The following is a 19,270-nucleotide window of genomic DNA, read 5'->3' as shown; positions in this document are numbered from 1 at the left end:
CATGGCTCTTTCATTAGAAATTTGTAGTTTTCATTGTATATAGATCTGTGTGTCACAAAGGTCTATATGACAAAACTGAGACAAAGACAAACTGACGGATTCTTCCAGTTTTTGTGGATGGCTCTGGGCTGGGGCATTCCTTTAACACACATGCATACTGTTGAAAACTTTGCTTCAGTCTTCACTTTCTGCTGAGCTGAGCCTGAAGGTCAGCCAGTGCTGAAAATGAGGGTCTTCTTGGGTCTTTAAGAAAATGTGTTTTTCGTGGTTATGCACAGAGTGCTTTGTCAATTTGCCAGCATACCTGGGTGCTTTTTAATAGCCTAATTTGTAAAACAAAACAAAATCTCACGTTAGCTTTTTATTCTTGGCTTTATGTGACCTATTGCATGTGTCATCTGTAATCTGTTCTCCAGGGGGCTGCTGGCTTTCAGTTTCCTTAAAATACTCCCAAGTAACTCGTGCCAATTTTTTAAACTGATTTTTTTCTGACTTAGAGAAAAAAGAGAGCCTTGTTTCAGACCTTTGGATAGCCCTAATACAGATTTTAATGTAACAACACAATACTTTGCAAGTAAGACCTCCTCTTTTCCCTCTGGAACCACTGAGCAGAGGCCCATACTGGCAACTCAGGATGTTGTTTTTAAGACTGCCATCAAGTAAGGGAAGGATTTGGGCAAGGACGTGTAAAAAGTCCACGAGGCTTTTCTCCTGTTCTTCATTGTTTTTCTTGATTTTGTATTTACATGGTTGCTGTACAACTTGATGGTTTTCAACAGGTTTTACAACATCGTTTCTGACAGTTCTGCTTGTTTTTCCCTGTTTCTGTGGAGGAGCAGGTGTTTGGAGCTGTACATTCTTGCCATTTTGCTGATTTTACTCTCTCTGGGCTCTCAGTTGTACTTCGTTGATCTAAATGACTTTCCTTGTGTCGTTACTACACCATCTTGATTAAGGTTGCTTTGAGGCAAATTTTGAAGTTGTAATTTGTGAGTCCTCTTATTTGGCATCTTTTTAAAGATTTTTAAAGATATTCTTAGTCCCTTTTAATTTTATATGAATTTCAGCATCAATGCTTCAGTTTTTACATGGTAGTCACCTTGAATTCTAATTGTACTGAATCTAATTGTACTGGATGTAGACTGTTTGGGGAGTTATTGTCATCATAATGTATTAAACCTACTGATTCATAAACATGGAATGGTTTCTCATTTATTTAGATCTTCAACCTCTTTCGATAAGGTTTGTAGTTTTCAGATTACAAGTTTCTTTCACATTTTTAAAAATTTATTTCTATGTATTTATTATTTAATTGCTATTGTAAATGGATTTGTTTTTGCCTCAACTGCATTATTAGATATTTCGTTGCAAGTGTATAGAAGTATAATTGATTTTTGTATAATAATTTTGTACCTCTGACTTTGGTGAATACATGATCTTGGTTGCTTCCAAGTTTTGTGAAAACTACAATTAATATTACTGTAAACTTTTTTGTGCAGGTTTTTGTGTGGACTTACATTTTCAATTCATTTGAGTAAGCTAACCTTTAGGAATTTGTTTGGAGTTCAGAAGACACCACCCTGCCACATAGGATCGAGTTAAGAAAAACTCATTTTGTGCAAATCAAGTTTATGTGGGCCTATGATGAGGTTCATGGAAAAGCACTGTGTATAGTTGTGTGAATTTGAGCCCAGTGATTTATTATGTATTAATCTTGCCCTGTGTAGCAGATGTTCTAGGAGGTGCTGCAATGACTAAAACAAAACAAATAATTCTGCCCACTTGAAGCTGATATTCTAGGAAAGAATAAATATATAATACAAGTAAAATAAACAATGTGTAAGATAGTGGTTACTGCTAATGTGGGAGGAGAGTGTGGTAAAGAGAGCAGAGGTCTAAACTGGGTGTCTCTCTGAGCATTTATTTGTGTGTTTCAGCTGCTAACTCTGACAGTTAGCAAGCTTGTGTGTCTTTGTCTGCATGTATCCACCTTTACGTGCAGTGAAAAGTCTGCTTTTGTATTTATGCCTGGGTGCTATGTGTGTATTTGCTTTGAAATCACTAATACTTTTATGTTCTTGCCTAATTTCCTAGCTAACAGCTTTTTTTTACCATGTTGAATAGATGTCGTGAGAACAGACATCTTTGTCTTATTTCTGATCTTAGGTAGAAAGCATTTTGTCTTTTAACATCAAGTATGATGTTAGCTGTGGGGTTTTTATAGATGTCTTACAATATCTTTTCTATTTCCAGTTTATTTAATGTTTTTATCATGAAGAGTGTTGAAGATTTTCAAACCTTTTTACTTTGTATTTTCCCTATATTAATACCTTGCCAGATGTATTATTAGAGTATTGTTATGGAGTATGTTCTATTATTCAGAGTTGTCCTGTTACTCTATTGATAGTGTCCTCTGAGAGACAAATTCACTATTGATGAAGTCATGTATCTATTTTGTTGTTGACTGAGCTTGCATCATATGCAAGAAATTATTCCCACATCTAATGGTATGAATATTTTGCCCTATCTTTTTTTTAATAGTTGTTCAGGTTTAAGTTTTTCTTTTAGGTTTTCGATGCACTTCGATTTCATTTTGTATACAGTGTAAGGTATAAGTCCAATTTTATACTTCATTATGTGAATATCTAGTTTTCCAAGCAAATTTTTTTTTTCTGAAGACTTTCTTTTCCCACTGAATAACCCTGGCAACTTGTTAAACTATTTTATCATATATGTGAGGATACCTTTCTGGGCTCTATTTTATTTCATTTGTTTGTAGTCTCTATCCCAGTACCACACTGTTTTGAGTAACATGACTGTGAGTAACTTTTGACGTTAGGAAATTTCTCATTATGAAATTAGAGCTTTGAACATTTTTTTCTCTTTTTTTTGCGATCGTTTTGACTATTCTTGGTTCCTTGAGATTTCACTTGAATTTTAGAATGTTAGTTTCTGTTTCCATTTAAAAAAAGTTATTGGGCTTTTGATTGGGATTGCACTGCATTTATAGATAATTTTAGGAGAAATTGCCACATTAGTACTTTTAAGAGAGTTTCCAAGATGGCTTACTGGATGCAGCCAGGAAGTGTTGCTCCCAAAGAGAAAGACCACAATTTTGACTACATCAACATAGTTTGAATAGATATTTGGAGAGAAAATGCATAGTGTGGATGGAGAAAAGGTGCGTTTTCTAAGACTGAAGAGCAAGGAAGCTGGGGTGCCCTTATGGGGTGCCTGAACGCTATGACTGCTTTTTGGCCCTGAGTGGCATCTGGGGAAGAAGTGAGTAAAGGGACTGGGAGGCTGCTCACTCTCGCTGCAGACCACTGGGATCCTGGCTGCAGGAAGCTCCACACCCCCATGGACATGTGAGTTGGCAAGGAGCTCTCCCTGGAGAGTAGATGGAGATGGAGCTGTAGCAGGCACAGAGCCAGGACTTTTTATCATGGGTCAGATCTGGTGGAGCTCAACCATAAAGTCCCACCTCCGTGGCTGCCTATCTCTCTCAGAGGCTTTGGCCCCAGCTAAACTGCAGGGAGAAAGCAAGGCCTGCTTACCCGCAGGATTGGGACATGTCTATCCTGTAGGCATGCCTGTCCACCAGCCTCTTACATGGCCCCTGCCTGGCTTCCTGGGAGAAGCATGTATACATTGTAGTTTCTGCTACCCAACCTGGATGCTTGGCTCCACCTGAATGCATTCTGGCGGCCCAGAAATCCCTCAGATCCCTCACCACACTTGGAACCTGGCCCTAAGCATCAGGAAGAGGGAGTCATAAGCAAGTCGTGGCACTCCAGTGCTGTGGCCTGTGGTTCAGGAGTGCCAAGCTGGGATCTGTGCTGGGCAGTTGAATTGGGGAGGAACCCACACTCTTCAGAAACTGAGAGGCCAGATTCACACAGGTTCACAGGCTGGCGTGGGCCCTAGGCACACCTCCTTCCACAGGGCTGTTATGGTAAAGATGCAGGGTATTTTTCTAGAAGACATCTCCCTGAGGGAGCCCCACAGCTTGAAACACCTAACAACAATGACAATAATGATAATGATAGTAATAGGCCGGGCGTGGTGGCTCACGCCTGTAATCCCAGCACTTTGGGAGGAGGAGGCGGGCGGATCACGAGGTCAGGAGATCGAGACCATCCTGGATAACACGGTGAAACCCCGTCTCTACTAAAAATACAAAAAAATAGTCGGGTGTGGTGGCGGGCGCCTGTAGTCCCAGCTAGCCGGGAGGCTGAGGCAGGAGAATGGCATCAACCGAGGAGGCGGAGCTTGCAGTGAGCCGAGATCCTGCCACTGCACTCCAGTCTCTGGGCGACAGAGCGAGACTCCGTCTCAAAAAAAAAAAAAAAAAAAAGGAGATAATGATAGTAATAATAATGGGCATAGTGCCAGTGATTGAAAGTGAGTCTCTCAAGACTCATGAACAGACCTGTACCACAGAACATAGTTGCAAATAAAGAAGATACACAAAGGAACTGCATGGTAAAGAACCTATCTACATCCCACTGCTCTCAAGTGCTATCTACTGGATCGCAGTAGAGATTACACCACCAAAAATCACTTTACTAATTCTTCCCCTGTGAAACCAAGAGCAAGAATTCAACAACAAAGACACTGTACAGAGTCCTAGTCCTCTGAAAACCTTCAAAAAAAGAAAGCCAATAGACTATACTCAATTTATACCCCAATTAGAGGTATACCAGTTCTCTCAGATGAGAAAGAATTGGCTCAAAATCTCTGGCAATGCAAAAAGCCAGAGTGTCTCCTTCAAGAGAGCCCACTAGTGCCCCAGTGATGGTTTTTAACAGTCTGAATTGTCTAAAATGACAGACATGGAAAAAAGAGCAGGGAAACTCATTTAAATTGAGAAGAAAGTTGAAACTTAACCCAAGGAAGCCAAGCAATCCGGTTAAATGATTCAAAACCTGAAAGATAAAATAGCAATCTTAAAAAATATCTAAACTAAAAAATTCTTGAGCTGAAAGATTTACTGTGAGGATTTTATAATAAAATCAGAAGTATTTCCAGCAGAATAGACTAAACTGAGAAAAGAATCTCAGAGCTCACTGTTTTATTGAATCAACATAGTCAGACAAAAATAAAGATAAAAGAATTAAGAAAAATCAACATCCCCATTGAGAAATATGAGATTACTTAGAGAACAAATCTACAATTTATCAACATTTCTGAGAGAGAAGGAAAGAGAATAGGCAAGTTGGAAAATATGTATGAAGATATAGTTCATGAAAGTACCTCTAATCTCACTAGCGAGGTTGCCATTCAAATCCAAGAGAACCCCAGTCAGCCCCTAGTCAGATACAATAATATATGACAGTCTGTATTAGTCAGTTCTCACATTGCTATAAAGAAATACTTGACACTGGGTAATTTATAATGAAAAGAAGTTTGGTTGGCTCACAGTTCTGCAGGCTGCAGCGGAAGCATGCAGCATCAGCTTGGCTTATGGGGAGCCCTCAGGAAACTAACAACCATGGCAGAAGGAAGAGGGGGGCAAGGCATCTTACATGGAAGAACAGGAGCAACACAGAGAGCGAGGAGGTGCTACCCATTCTTAAACAGCCAGATCTCATGAGAACGTTATCGCGAGACAGCACAAGGGGCTGGTGTTAAACCATTCACAAGGATCTATCCCCATTATCCAATCACCTCTCAGCAGGCCCCACCTCCAACATTGAAGATTACAGTTCCACATGTGATTGGGGCAGAATCACAGATCCAAACCATATTGCTATTTCCATGTCACATAGTCATCAGATTCACCAAAGTCAGTGCAAAAAAAAATTTAAGATCAGTTAGAGAGAAAGGGCAGGTTACTCACAGAGTGAATTCCATCAGACTAGCAGCAGACCTCTCAGCAGACTCCTTGCAACCAGAAGAGGTTAGGGGCCTATCTGCAGAGTTTTTAAAGGAAAAAAAAATTAACCAATAATTTTATATCCCTCTAAACTAAGCTTCATAGGTGAAAGAGGAAAAAAAAATTCCTTTGACAAGCAAATGCTGACGTGATACATTTAAACTAGACCAGCCTTACAAGAGGTCTTTAAGGTAGTGCTAAACATGGATTCAAGTGAATGATATCTGCTACCAAAAAAGCTCACTTAAGCACATAGCCCACAGGCACTATAAAGCAATAATGCAATCAACTCTACATAACAACCAGCTAACAACATGATGGTGAATTCAAAATCACACATATCAATACTCACCTAACATGTAAGTAAGCTAAACACCACAGTTAAAAGACACAAAGTGGCATCCTGGATAAAAAGACAGTACCCATCCATCTGTTGCTTTCAAGACACACCCTTTGCCTCAGAGTAAAAGGGTGGAGCGTATTCTACCATGCAAACGAAACAAAAACAAGCAGCAGTCACTATTCTTATATTAGATAAAACAAATTTAAACCAAAAAAAAAAAACACTAAGAGGGACAAGAAGAGCATTTTGATAAAGGGTGCAATCTAACAAGAAGCCTTAACTATCTTAAATATATATGTGATTACCACTGGAGCATCCAAATTCATAAAATGACTTCTTCTTTGCCTACCAATGAAAAGAAGAATAACAAGGGCATATTGATAAAGGACAAAATCCTGTGAGAAGCCTTAAATATCTTAAATATATATACACTTAATATTGGAGCACCCAGATTTACAAAATGACTTTTTCTTTCCCCACAAAAAGGCTTAGACAACATCACAATAGTAGTAAGAGTCTTCAACACCCTACTTACAGCATTAGACATATCACTGAGGCCAAAAAAAAAAAAAAAAAAAACTAACAGGAAAACTCTGGAGTTAAACTCCACACTTGACCAATTGGACCTAATAGACATCTATTGAAAACTCCATCGAACAACCACAGAATGTACATTTTTCTCATCTGCACAAAAAAAAATTCTAAGATCAACCACGTGCTCAGTGATAAATAAAGCCTGAATAGATTAAGGAAAAATGAAATCTCACCAAGCACACTGTTGGAGCACAGTACAATAAAAAATACAAATGCATACCAAGATCTCTCAAAACTACAGAAATACATGAAAATTAAACAACTTACTCCTGAATAAATCCTTTGTAAACATCAAAGTAAGGCAGAAATATAAAAATTACTTGAAATTGATAGAAATAGGAACACAACTTACCAAAATTTCTAAGATGCAGCCAAAGCAGTGTTAAGAGAAAACTTTATAGCCCTAAATGCCTTTATCAAGAAGTTAGAAATGTCTCAAATTAACGATGTAACTTTGCACCTAAAGGAACTTGAAAAAAAGAACCAACCAACCCCAAAGCTAGCATGAGAGAAGACATAACAGCAATTAGAGAAGAATTTAATGAAGTTGAGATGCAAAAATGTATACAACAGTCCAAGAAAACAAAAAATTGGTTCTTCAAAAAAAATTGATAAGCTCCTAGCCAAATTAACAAATATAAAAAAGAAAGAGAAGATCCAAATAAGCACAATAAAAATGACAGGTTATATTAGAATGGATCAGATAGAGATACAAAAGATCCTCAGCGAGTACTATGAACAGCTCTGCACGCAAATTAGAAAATCTGGAGAAAATGAATAAATTCCAGGAAGCACACAGTCTCCCAAGATGGAATCAGAAAGAGATCAAAACTCTAAGTAGACTAATATCAACTTCTGACATTGAGTCAGTACTAAAGAACCTACCAACAACAACAACAACAACAAAAAGGCCTGAAACAGGTAGATTGGCTGCTGAGTTTTACCAGACATACTAAGAAGAAATGATATCAATCCTACTAAAATTATTTCAAAATATCGAGGCGGTGGGGCTCCTTCCTAACTCATTCTTTGAAACCAGCAGTAGCATGATATGAAAATCTGGCAGAGACACTGTGAAAAAACAAAACTTCAGACCAAGATCCCTCATGAACAGAAAATGTAAAAATCCTCAACAAAATACTAGCAAACCAAATTCAGCACCACATCAGAAAGGTAATACACCATGGTCAAGTAGGCTTTATTCCTGGGATGCAAGCTGGTTCAACATATGCAAACCAATAAATGTGATTCACCAGCTAAATAGAATCAAAAGTAAAAACCATATGATTTTCTAAACAGATACACAAAGGTCTTCTTAATAAAATCCAACACTACTTCATGGTAAAAATCCTCAATAGACTAGGCATCCAAGGAACATACCTTAAAATAATAAGAGTCATCTATGGGAAACCCACAGTCAACATCATACTCAATAGGTTAAAAACTTAAAACTATTTCTATGAGAACTGAAACAAGACAAGGATGCTCACTCACAGCACTCCTATTCAGCTTAGTACTGGAAGTCCTATGCAGAGCAATCAGGCAAGAGAAAGAAAAAGTAACGAAACAGGAAAAGAAGTCAAACTATCTCTCTTCGCTGAAAATATGATCCTATGCCTAGAAAATCCTAGAGATTCTGCCAGAAGGCTCCTAGAATTAATAACTTTAGTATAGTCTCAGGATACAAAATCAGTGTAAACAGTACTGATTATGGTGAAATAAGTAGCATTTCCATACACCAACAATGTCCAGGCCAAGAGTGAAATCAAGAACACAATTCCACTTAAAATAGCCACAAAAAAGAGAAATACCTAGGAATACAGATAACCAAGGAAATGAAAGATCTCTTCAAGGAGAACTACAAAACACTGCTGAAAGTCACACACCTACAACCATATGATATTTGACAAGGCTGGCAAGAACAAGCAATGGGGAAAGGACTCCCTAGTCAATACATTCTGGGATAACTGGCTTGCCATAGGCAGAAGATTGAACCTAGACCTTTACCTTGCAACATGCCCCAAAATTAAATTTAAATGGATTAAAAATTTAAGTGTAAGACCTCAAACTATAAAAATTCTGGAAGATAACCTAGGAAATACTTTTTTGACATCAGCCTTGGCAAGTCGTTTTTGGCTAAGTCCCCAAAAGCAATTGCAACCAAAACAAAAATAGACAAGTAGGACTTAATTTGACTAAATAGCTTCTGCACAGCAAAATAAACTATCAACAGGGGAAAGAGGCATCCTCCAGAATGGGAGGAGATATTCACAAACTATGAGTCTAACAAAAGCCTAATATCCAGACTCTATAGGGAACTCAAATCAACAAGCCAAAAAAAAAAAACCATTAAAAAATAAAAAATGGGCAAATGAGATGAACAGATATGCCTGAACAGAAGATATACAAGTGGCCAACAAACATGAAAAATTGCTCAGCATCAGTAATTATCAGATAAATGCAAATCAGAACCACAATGAGGTACCATCTCATGTTAGTCAGAATGGCTATTACTAAAAAGTCAATAAATAACATGTTGGCAAGGCTGTGCAGAAAAGGAAACACTTTACGTCACTGGCAGGATTGTAAATTAGTTCAGCAATCATGGAGAGCAGTCTCGAGATTTCTGAAAGAACTTAAAACAGAACTACCAATTTACCCAGCAATCCTACAACTGGGTATATACCCAAAAGAAAATAAATCATTCTACCAAAAAGACATATGCACTTGAATGCATCACTGTGCTATTCACAATAGCAAAGATGTGGGATCAATCCAGACGCCCATCAATGGTATATTGGATAAAGAAAACCTGATATGTATACACCATGGAATACTACACAGCTGTGAAATATAATGAAATCATGTCCTTGGTATGAACATAGGTGGAACCAGAGGCCATAATTTCAAGCAAATTAATGCAGAAACAGAAAGCCAAATACTGCATGTTCTTACTTATAAGAGCTAAACATTGAGCATATATGGACATAAATATGGGAACAGTAAACACGGTGGACTACTAAAGTGTGCAGAGGGGAGGACAAGTTAATATACTACATATTGGTTGCTGTGCTCACTACCTATGTGCTCCAAACCTGAGCATTATACAATATTCCTACATAACAAATCTGTGCCTGTAACCCCTGAATCTAAAATAAAAGTTGAAATTTTTTAAAAAGTCTTTTCACCTATGAACAGAAGATACTGTTCCATTTATTTGTACCTTTGATTTCTTACAGCAGCATTTTGAAAGTTTTTATTGTACAAATAGTTTGTCATCCTGGTTAAATTGATTCCAGAGCATTTTATTCTTTTTAATACTGTTGTTCATGGTATTGTTTTCTTAATTTCCTTTTCAGATTAATCATTATTGGTGTGCATCAATGCAACTGAGTTTTGTAAGTTAATTTTGTATCCTGCAACATTACTTAATTTGTTTAAACTGTTTTGAGGTGTTTTTCTGTTTGTACAATCTTCAGAATTGTGTGCATACATGATTACTGTGAACAGAGATATTTCTATTTTATTCTTTTTAACATACGCATTTTTGTCTTTATTTTATTTTTGTTATTGCTTAAGCTAAAGTTTTATATACTCTGTTGAGTGGAAGTGGTAAAAAAGAGGAACTATTTTTAGTTCCTGATATTAAGGGAAAACATTTTTTGTATTTCACTGTTGATTATGTTGTGTGTTTGTACCATGAATGAGTAATATCTTGTAGAATGCTTTTTCTGTGTAAATTGAGATATTGTGGTGTTTAACAGTACTAATGCGGTATATTATGATTATTTGTTTATTTATTTATTATTTATTTATTTTTAGAGACAGGATATTATGATGTTGTTTAGACTGCTCTTGAACTCCTGGACTGAAGTGAACCTATCACCTTAGCATCCTGGGTAACTGGGATTACAGGCACAAGCCACTGTGCCTGGCTACATTTATTGATATTTATATGTTAAAGCATCTTTGCACTTCAGTAATAACTCTCAATTAGTCTTGGTAGATAACCCTCTTATTATTCTGCTAAATATATTTTGCTAATATTTATTTTATAGTTTTTATATTATTTATAAAGAACATTTTTCTTCAACTTTCTTTTCTTGTAGTGCTTTTGTTCATTTTTTATGTCACTGTAATTTTGGCCTACCTCATAGAATAAATTTGGAAGTGTTTCTGCATCTTCAGGTTTTTGCAAGAGTTTGAGGATAATTGGTAATTAATTCTTAAAATGTTTGATAGATTCAGCAGCATAACAGTTTTGTACTTTTTTTTTCTGGAGGGGTGATTTTTGCATCAATCTGCAACTATAGGTCTGTTCAGATTTTCTATTTGTTCATGACTCAGTGTCAGTACATTGTGTATTTCTACATATACATGTGTCGACTTTATCAACATTATTCAATTTCCTTGTGGTCTCTTAGAGACTTATTTAACAAGATCTGAGGCATACAGTTCTTTCAGTTGTATTCTGCTACCATGTATTTATTCTGCTGTTGATGTAGTGGTTATGTGAGAGCTTAGGCAAAGCACTCTATTGACTTATGCATTAGCCTCATTAAAACAAATCAAAACAAAACAGTGTATCCCTAGGCTGTGAATTTCATGAGGACTTCTCACTCTTTACCTCTCTTAACTGGATCAAGAAGGTTAGAGGGGGATGGAATTGGGCATTTCTCTTACTCCAGGAAGTCTGGCTCTGGTAAAATCTCAGTTGGTTAGGCTTTTGATACATAGTTTATATTGAAGATAGGAATGTTAAAAAGAAAATTTTCTGGGAATAGTTAAAAATGGCTACATTTCCCTTCCTCCTACTGGAATCAAGAAGCATTTTTTCTATCATCTTCCCTGTAAAAGCCATGTCATGTTTCTGAAAGTAAAGTTCATAAATTTGTATACCCTGAAAATGTTAATTCTCAAACTTTTAGCCATTCATCAACAATGGTTTGTTTTCTTACAACTGTATTTGTTCCCATAGGGGTTTCTTGTGGTTTACTAACCAAGTAAGTTATAATTCTCTGGATGTGTGTGTCCTTCTGTCCAATTTGGGATGGTGATTTGCCCTGTGAACTTATTTTTCTGATAGATGTTAGGAGAATTGCTGGCCTATGTTTCCCTTTTTACTTTCGCTGATGCGAATGTCACCTTCTACGTCCTTACTTGCCAGGCTGACCAAAAGGAACTATCTTCACTTTTTGATGGTTGTCTCTATTTTTAATCCTAAACCGTGTGTGTGTGTGTGTGTGTGTGTGTGTGTGTGTGTGTGTGTGTGTATAAAATAATACAGTAAGAGGAAACCTGGGTGGTCCCTTTTCTGGTACCAGCAGCAGATTGAAACCATTCAAACCCCTGTCCATGGGAATAAATTCTCACCCTAGCATGCCACCTACCCTCAATAAAAATCCAGGCCTGGCTCCTTTTCTTGCACATTCAAGCCATGTCAGATCACCTTGAAAGGCCTTCCTACTTACCTCACAAATGTAATTTATGTGAGTAGTAATTTCTTACCCTCTTAAAGCCACATCTTTGCAAGTGACTAACAATTGGTGCCATGAGCAGACTGTTCAGACATTGCCCACCAACCTGAGGATCTGTCTTCTCTTGCTAAGTTGCTCTGCTGCTTAATGTCTGGCATGTACTTTGACCTGCTGCTTCCGGAGGAGTTAGTGCTTTGAGCTGTGCCGCTCTGTTTATTGTTCTGCCAAATTTGTGAACTAAAAACTCAGACTTCCACATTACAGGGGGAAATGACACAAATCGTGGGGTTTGATTCAAACATAATAAATCTTTAAATTTTTATCATGCAATATAGTCACAAACGAATGAATAAAACATTTATCATAAGTTTTAGTGATAATAATGAAAACATTCTTAGAATCATCAAGATTTATTACATATATTTATAATATATATAATTAATATATAATATATAAATATATTTTATTATATATATTTATAATATATAATATATTATATAATATATTATATAATATAAATATATATAATAAAATATATATTATATATATTAATTATATTTATATATATAATTATATATATAAATATATATATTTATAATATTTTATATATATATATTTTTTGCCCCCGCCGCCGCATATTTTTGCCCCCGACGCCGAGGCTTTTTGCGGCTTTTTGCCCCCGCCGCCGCCCCTTTTTGCCGCCGCAGATTTTTGCTCCCGCCACCGCGGCTTCTTGCCCCCGCCGCCGCGGCTTTTTGCGGCTTTTTGCCCCTGCGGCATTTTGCTCCCGCCGCCGCCGGTTTTTGCCGCCGTGGCTTTTTGCCCCCGCCACCGAGGCTTTTTGTCCCCGCCGCCCCAGCTTTTTGCCCCCGCCGCCGCCGCTTTTTGCCACCGCTGCCGCGGCTCTGAGGGCGGGAGCAGCACACTCGGCTGCCGGCTCTACCGGCGTCCTTGTTCAGGCGGCGCCGGGGGGCGCTCCTGGTCCAGCTCTCCCGGCTCGGGGGTTCCTTGCCTAGGCGCCCGCGCCCCGGGCTCCCCGCCTTGGCCGCTGCGGCCTGCATAGAGCGGCGCTGCGCGTAGCGGCCAGGGGAGAGAAGAAGGAGGGCGGTGGCGGGGGTGATGTGGCGGCCTCTTTGGGAGGCGCAGGGGCCGCAGCCAGCCAGACGCTGCAGCAGTGTGGGCAGCTCCAGAAGCTTGTGGGCAGCTCCAGAAGCTTATCCGCATCTCCATTGGCAGCCTGCGCCGGTTGCGCAACAAGTGCGCTGTGTCCAAGGACCTCACCCAGCAGGAGATACGGACCCTGGAGGTAAGGGGGTCGTGGACCCAGGCTGGGCTCGAGGAGCGGCCCAGACACCTCCCTCCGTGCCCAAGTTCACTCCTGGCCGAGTTGCATCCTTGAGCCCCAGTCGCCCCGTTGGAGGCTTCCCCTCCCTCCTGCACTCGCTGATGCGGCAGCCGGAGGACCCGGGACCAGCCCTCACCTTGGGCAGGATCTGTGGGGCGGGTGCGTCGTGGGAACTGGCAGGGAGGCTTGAGGGGCCCATGGGCGAGGTGGGCTGCGAGCGGACATCCCCTTACCCCCTGAATTTCCATCTGGTCCAGCCCTCTCATCTTGTGGGTGAGGAAACCGAAGGCCTGAGGGAGAACTGACTTGCCTGGAACCCCTGTTAAGGAGAATTAACAAAGTGTGGTTATTAAAGGAGCACTGAGTTGGGAGTGAGACCTGGAGGCCCACACCCTTGGTTAAGACATAATACCACCTTGAGTCTGGCCTGTTGACTGAGGGTGAGCCACTCCATCCTCATCTGATTGTGGGGTCTTGACCTCAAGGGGTTGCCTGAAGGAAGAAGCACATGGGTTTGCTTTCCTAGCTCTGTCCAGTACCTTAGGGACCCTGAGGACTGGAGAGATTCTTGGAGAGCCATCTGGTGTATATCATGGGTGGGCCTTTTTTGAAGGTCAGTCTGCCCAGTGGGCTGGCTCAGCCCCAATGAACTGTCTTGAATCTTTGGAGTTGTCTGGGTACTTTTAAGGGCTTCTCATCCTTGCACCAAAAGATCCCCTGGAAATTAGGTGGGAAAACCTTAACTTTTGTGGGGCCTTGTGTTTGTCTTAAAAGTTCATGCACATGGCCAGATGTGGTGGCTCACACCTGTTATCCTGTCCTGGATCCCTTGAGTCAAGGAGTTTGAGACTAACCTGGACAATATAGTGAGACCCTGTCTCTACAAAAAATAAAATATTAGCCAGGGGTGGTTGTGCACATCTGTAGTCCCAGCTACTACTGTGGCTGAGGTGGGAGGAGCACTTGAGCCTGCACTGAGCTGTGATCTCACCAGTGTACTCCAGCCTGGGCCACAGAGCAAGACCCTGACTCAAAAAAAAAAAACCAACAAGAAAAATACTTGAAGATTTTTGCATTCTGTCCCACTACCCATTGGTTGTCATGTGAAGATAATGTCAGAAATTCTTTACAATTGCTTCCAGAAGGAGTAGCCTTTTGATCTAGTGCACAGGTGTCTTTTGGCTTCTCAGGGTCACATTGGAAGAAGAATGCTCCTGGGCCACATATAAAATACACTAATGCTAACGATAGCTGATGAGCTTAAAAAAAAAAAAAGGTTTGTGCATAATTTTCATGATACCCACCACCACAGATAGGTGGAAAAGTCCTTGTAGTCAAAGGGTTGGACGCGGCTGACCTAGTGTCTTGTCATCCGTTTTGGCTTCCTCCCTGATTCCAGAATGCAGGTATAGATGTAGAGACGTGCTCTCAGGACAGCTGTTGAGATAAAAAATTCTTTGTCATTTATTCCCAAGCACAGCTGTTTGTCATTTGCATTGAAAAAGTCTCCATTCAAACTGCTGTCACATATAAAATCTATTTATGTAAGTCTGTATTTTTCTGTAGTCTTGGCCTTTTGGGCAGTAGTGTGTTTTAACCGAGCAAACTGTCCTTCCAAATAATGAAGTCGAAGTCAGCCTACCTGCTTGCCATTTTTCTTCCCCTTCCATTTTTCTAACTTCAGGATAATTGTAAGAATGAATTAAACTTTATGTTGAAGGCCGGGCACAGTGTCTCAGGCCTGTAATCCCAGCACTTTGGGAGGCGGAGAGGGATGTATCACTTGAGCTCAGGAGTTGAAGACCAGCCTGGGCAACATACTGAGACTCCGTCTTGTATAATTAAATTAAAATGTTTAAAAAGAAGAGAAAAAGACCTGTGTTTAAATTTTAAAAAAGGGGAAATTGTAATGCAAAATGTGGACTATGCCAGCTATGATTGGGAAAAATAATTTTTCCTACAGCATTATCTGTAGACTTGTATTAGCAGCATACTGGTCATAAGCGTTTTGCTTTCCTCAAACATGATGAGGTAAGCTACTTTAAAGTGTGGTAGGGCTGTCTTCCACGTGGCTCCTGGTGGTGTTGAGTCCCAATTTAGCCAATTAATTTGGGTTTAGTTTTGATGTGGATAAGGGAGACCAGCTTCATTCATGGTGCACACACAGTTTTGCCAATAAGGGAAAAAAAAAGCAACCTGAATGTTCCTACTCATTAGATTCTATCTGGAGAGCTCCTACCCCACCCCCACCAAGGCCCAGACCCTTAAAAAGACTCAGTGCAGCCTTTCTGTATCTCATACTGTATTCTGCAAGATGCTCCTGTGAAAGAAAGTTGTGCTGCATCAGCCGTCTCCCTCCTGAAGATCCCTGCGGATGAGGATTTGTGTTTTAAAGGTTCTGAGAAGTCCTGCAATGACAGTCCTCAAACGTATTTGTCCAGGGGATCTTTTCTTCCACTGAACGTAGTTGGGGAGACACGGCCTTAAGCCTTGAGCAGAGAAAGAGACAAGAAGCTGTTGGCTCACTTACAACCAAGTGTTGTGTTTATGTGTTAGGTTTTCATGAAAGTGAGGTGCTGTTTGAGGTTCTAAATCAAATTGGGTGGTTGAGGAGAGCCTGGTATCCCTGTAGACTTAGCCAGCCATGAGAGGTTGCCTTTTGTTGAAGGAGGTATTTTACAAAGGGAAGTAGGATGTCTCCTGGGCATCACATTAGCACTTAAATATATGTATCACTGAAATGAAATGAAATGATGAAATGAAATGATGAAATGGTGAAATGAAATAATGAAATGAAAGGAAATGATGAAATGAAGAAATGAACTGATGAAATGAAATGATAAAATGATAAAATGAAATGAAATGATGAGATGAAGTGAAATGGTGAAATGATGAAATTAAATGATGAAATGATGAAATGATGAAATGATGAAATGGAATGATGAAATGATGAAATGGTGAAATGAGATGATGAAATGAAATGACGAAGTGAAATGATGAAATGAAATGAAATGATAAAATGATGAAATGAAATGAAAAGATGAAATGATGAAGAAATATGAAATGAAATGAAATGAGGAAATGAAGTGAAATGATGAAATGATGAAATAATAAAATGAAATGAAATGATGAATTGATGAAATGAAATGATGAAATGAAATGAAATGATGAGATGAAAAGATGAAATGAAATGATTAAATGAAATGATGAGATGGAAAGATGAAACGAAATGATGAGATGAAATGATGAGATGAAATGATGAAGTGAGGAGATGAAGTGAAATGATGAAATGAAATGATGAAATGATGAAGTGAAATGATGACATGAAATGATGAAATGAAATAATGAAAGGATGAAATGATGAGATGAAATGATGAAAGGAAATGAAATGATGAAATGAGGAAATGAAATGAAATGATGAAGTGAAATGATGAAATAATGAAACTAAATGAAAAGATGAAATGATGAAATGAAATGATGAAATGATATGAAATGATGAAATAAAGTGAAATGATGAAATGATGAAATGAAATTAAAAGAAATGATAAAATGAAATGATGAAATTATATGAAATAATGAAATGATGAAGTGAAGTGAAATGATGAAATGATGAAATGATGAAATAATGAAATGAAATGAAATGATAAATTGATGAATTGATAAAATGAAATGAAATGAAATGACGAGATGAAAAGATGAAATGAAATGATGAAATGAAATGACGAGATGAAAAGATGAAATGATGAGATGAAATGAAATGACTAGATGAAATCATGAGATGAAATGGTGTAATGATGAGATGAAGTGAAATGATGAGATGAAATGAAATCATGAGATGAAATGATGAAATGATGAAATGAATGAAATGAAATGAGATGAAATGATGAGATGAAATGATGAGATGAAATGATGAAATGAAAGGAAATGATGAAATGATGAAACAAAATGAAATGAAGAAATGAAATGATGAAATGAAATGATAAAATGATGAAATGAGATGAAAAGTAATGGTGAAATGAGGAAATGAAATGAAATGATGAGATGAAATGAAATGAAATGATGAAATGATGAAATGGAATGATAAAATGATGAAGTGATGAAATGGTGCAATGAAATGAGGAAATGAAATGAAATGAAGAAATGAAATGATGAAGTGAAATGATGAAATGAAATGAAATGATGAAATGATGAAATGAAATGAAAAGATGAAATGAAATGAAGAAATGATACGAAATGATGAAATGAAATGAAGTGAAATGAAATGATGAAATGATGAAATGATGAAATGAAATGATGAGATGAAAAGATAAAATGAAATAAAATGATTAAGTGAAATGACGAGATGAAAAGATGAAATGAAATGATATGAAATGAAATGATGAGATGAAATGAAATCATGAGATAAAATGATGAAATGATGAGATGAAGTGAAATGATGAAATGAAATGATGAGATGAAATGATGAGATGAAATAATGAAATGAAAGAATGAAATGAAAGGATGAAATGATGAGATGAAATGAAAGGATGAAATGAAATGATGAAATGAGGAAATGAAATGATGAAACGAAATGATGAAGTGGAATGATGAAATTATGAAATGAAATTAAAAGATGAAATGATGAAATGATATGAAATGAAATGAAATGATGAAATGAAGTGAAATGATGAAATTAAATGATGAAATGAAATGATGAAATAAATGAACTGAAATGATGATGAAATGAAATGATGAAATGAAATGACGAGATGAAAAGATGAACTGAAATGAAATGATGAAATGACGAGATGAAAACATGAAATGATGGGATGTAATGAAATGATGAGATGAAATCATGAGATGAAATGATGAGATGAAGTGAAATGATGAGATGAAATGAAATCATGAGATGAAATGATGAAATGATGAAATGCAATGATGAAATGAAAGAATGAAATGAAATGATGAAATGATGAAATGACATGAAAAGATGAAATGATGAAATGAAATGATATGAAATGATGAAATAAAGTGAAATGATGAAATGAAATTAAAAGAAATGATAAAATGAAATGATGAAATTATATGAAATGATGAAATGAAGTGAAATGACGAAATGATGAAATAATGAAATGAAATGATGAAATGATGAATTGATGAAATGATGAAATGAAGTGAAATGACGAGATGAAAAGATGAAACGGTGAAATGAAATGAAGAGATGAAAAGATGAAATGAAATGATGAGATGAAATGAAATGACTACATGAAATGAAATCATGAGATGAAATGGTGTAATGATGAGATGAAGTGAAATGATGAGATGAAATGAAATCATGAGATGAAATGATGAAATGAATGAAATGAAATGATGAGATGAAATGATGAGATGAAATGATGATGAGATGAAATGATGAAATGAAATGATGAGATGAAATGATGAGATGAAATGATGAAATGAAATGATGAAATGAAAGGAAATGATGAAATGATGAAACGAAATGATGAAATGAATAAATGAAATGATGAAATGAAATGATAAAATGAAATGATGAGATGAAATGTAATGGTGAAATGAGGAAATGAAATGATGAAATGAAATGATGAGATGAAATGAAATGATGAAATGATGAAATGGAATGATGAAATGAAATG

At 37.6% G+C, this 19,270-nt stretch overlaps 1 long non-coding RNA gene across 1 annotated transcript; it reads right to left on the bottom strand.

The window, feature by feature from the left end:
* Nucleotides 1-12,884: 12,884 nt before the first annotated feature.
* Nucleotides 12,885-14,958, bottom strand: LOC105379533 (translation initiation factor IF-2). Its single transcript, XR_005647092.1, has 4 exons — nt 14,942-14,958; nt 14,053-14,129; nt 13,236-13,956; nt 12,885-13,197 (listed from the first exon to the last, which is right to left on the bottom strand). It is a non-coding gene; the product is annotated as a translation initiation factor IF-2 (long non-coding RNA).
* Between the last annotated feature and the right edge of the window lie 4,312 nt (nt 14,959-19,270).

This window comes from Homo sapiens, assembly GCF_000001405.40.
Source record: "Homo sapiens chromosome 16 unlocalized genomic scaffold, GRCh38.p14 Primary Assembly HSCHR16_RANDOM_CTG1".
In the NCBI taxonomy this organism is placed as follows: Eukaryota; Metazoa; Chordata; class Mammalia; order Primates; family Hominidae; genus Homo; species Homo sapiens.
This window is presented reverse-complemented; position numbering and strand designations above follow the sequence as displayed.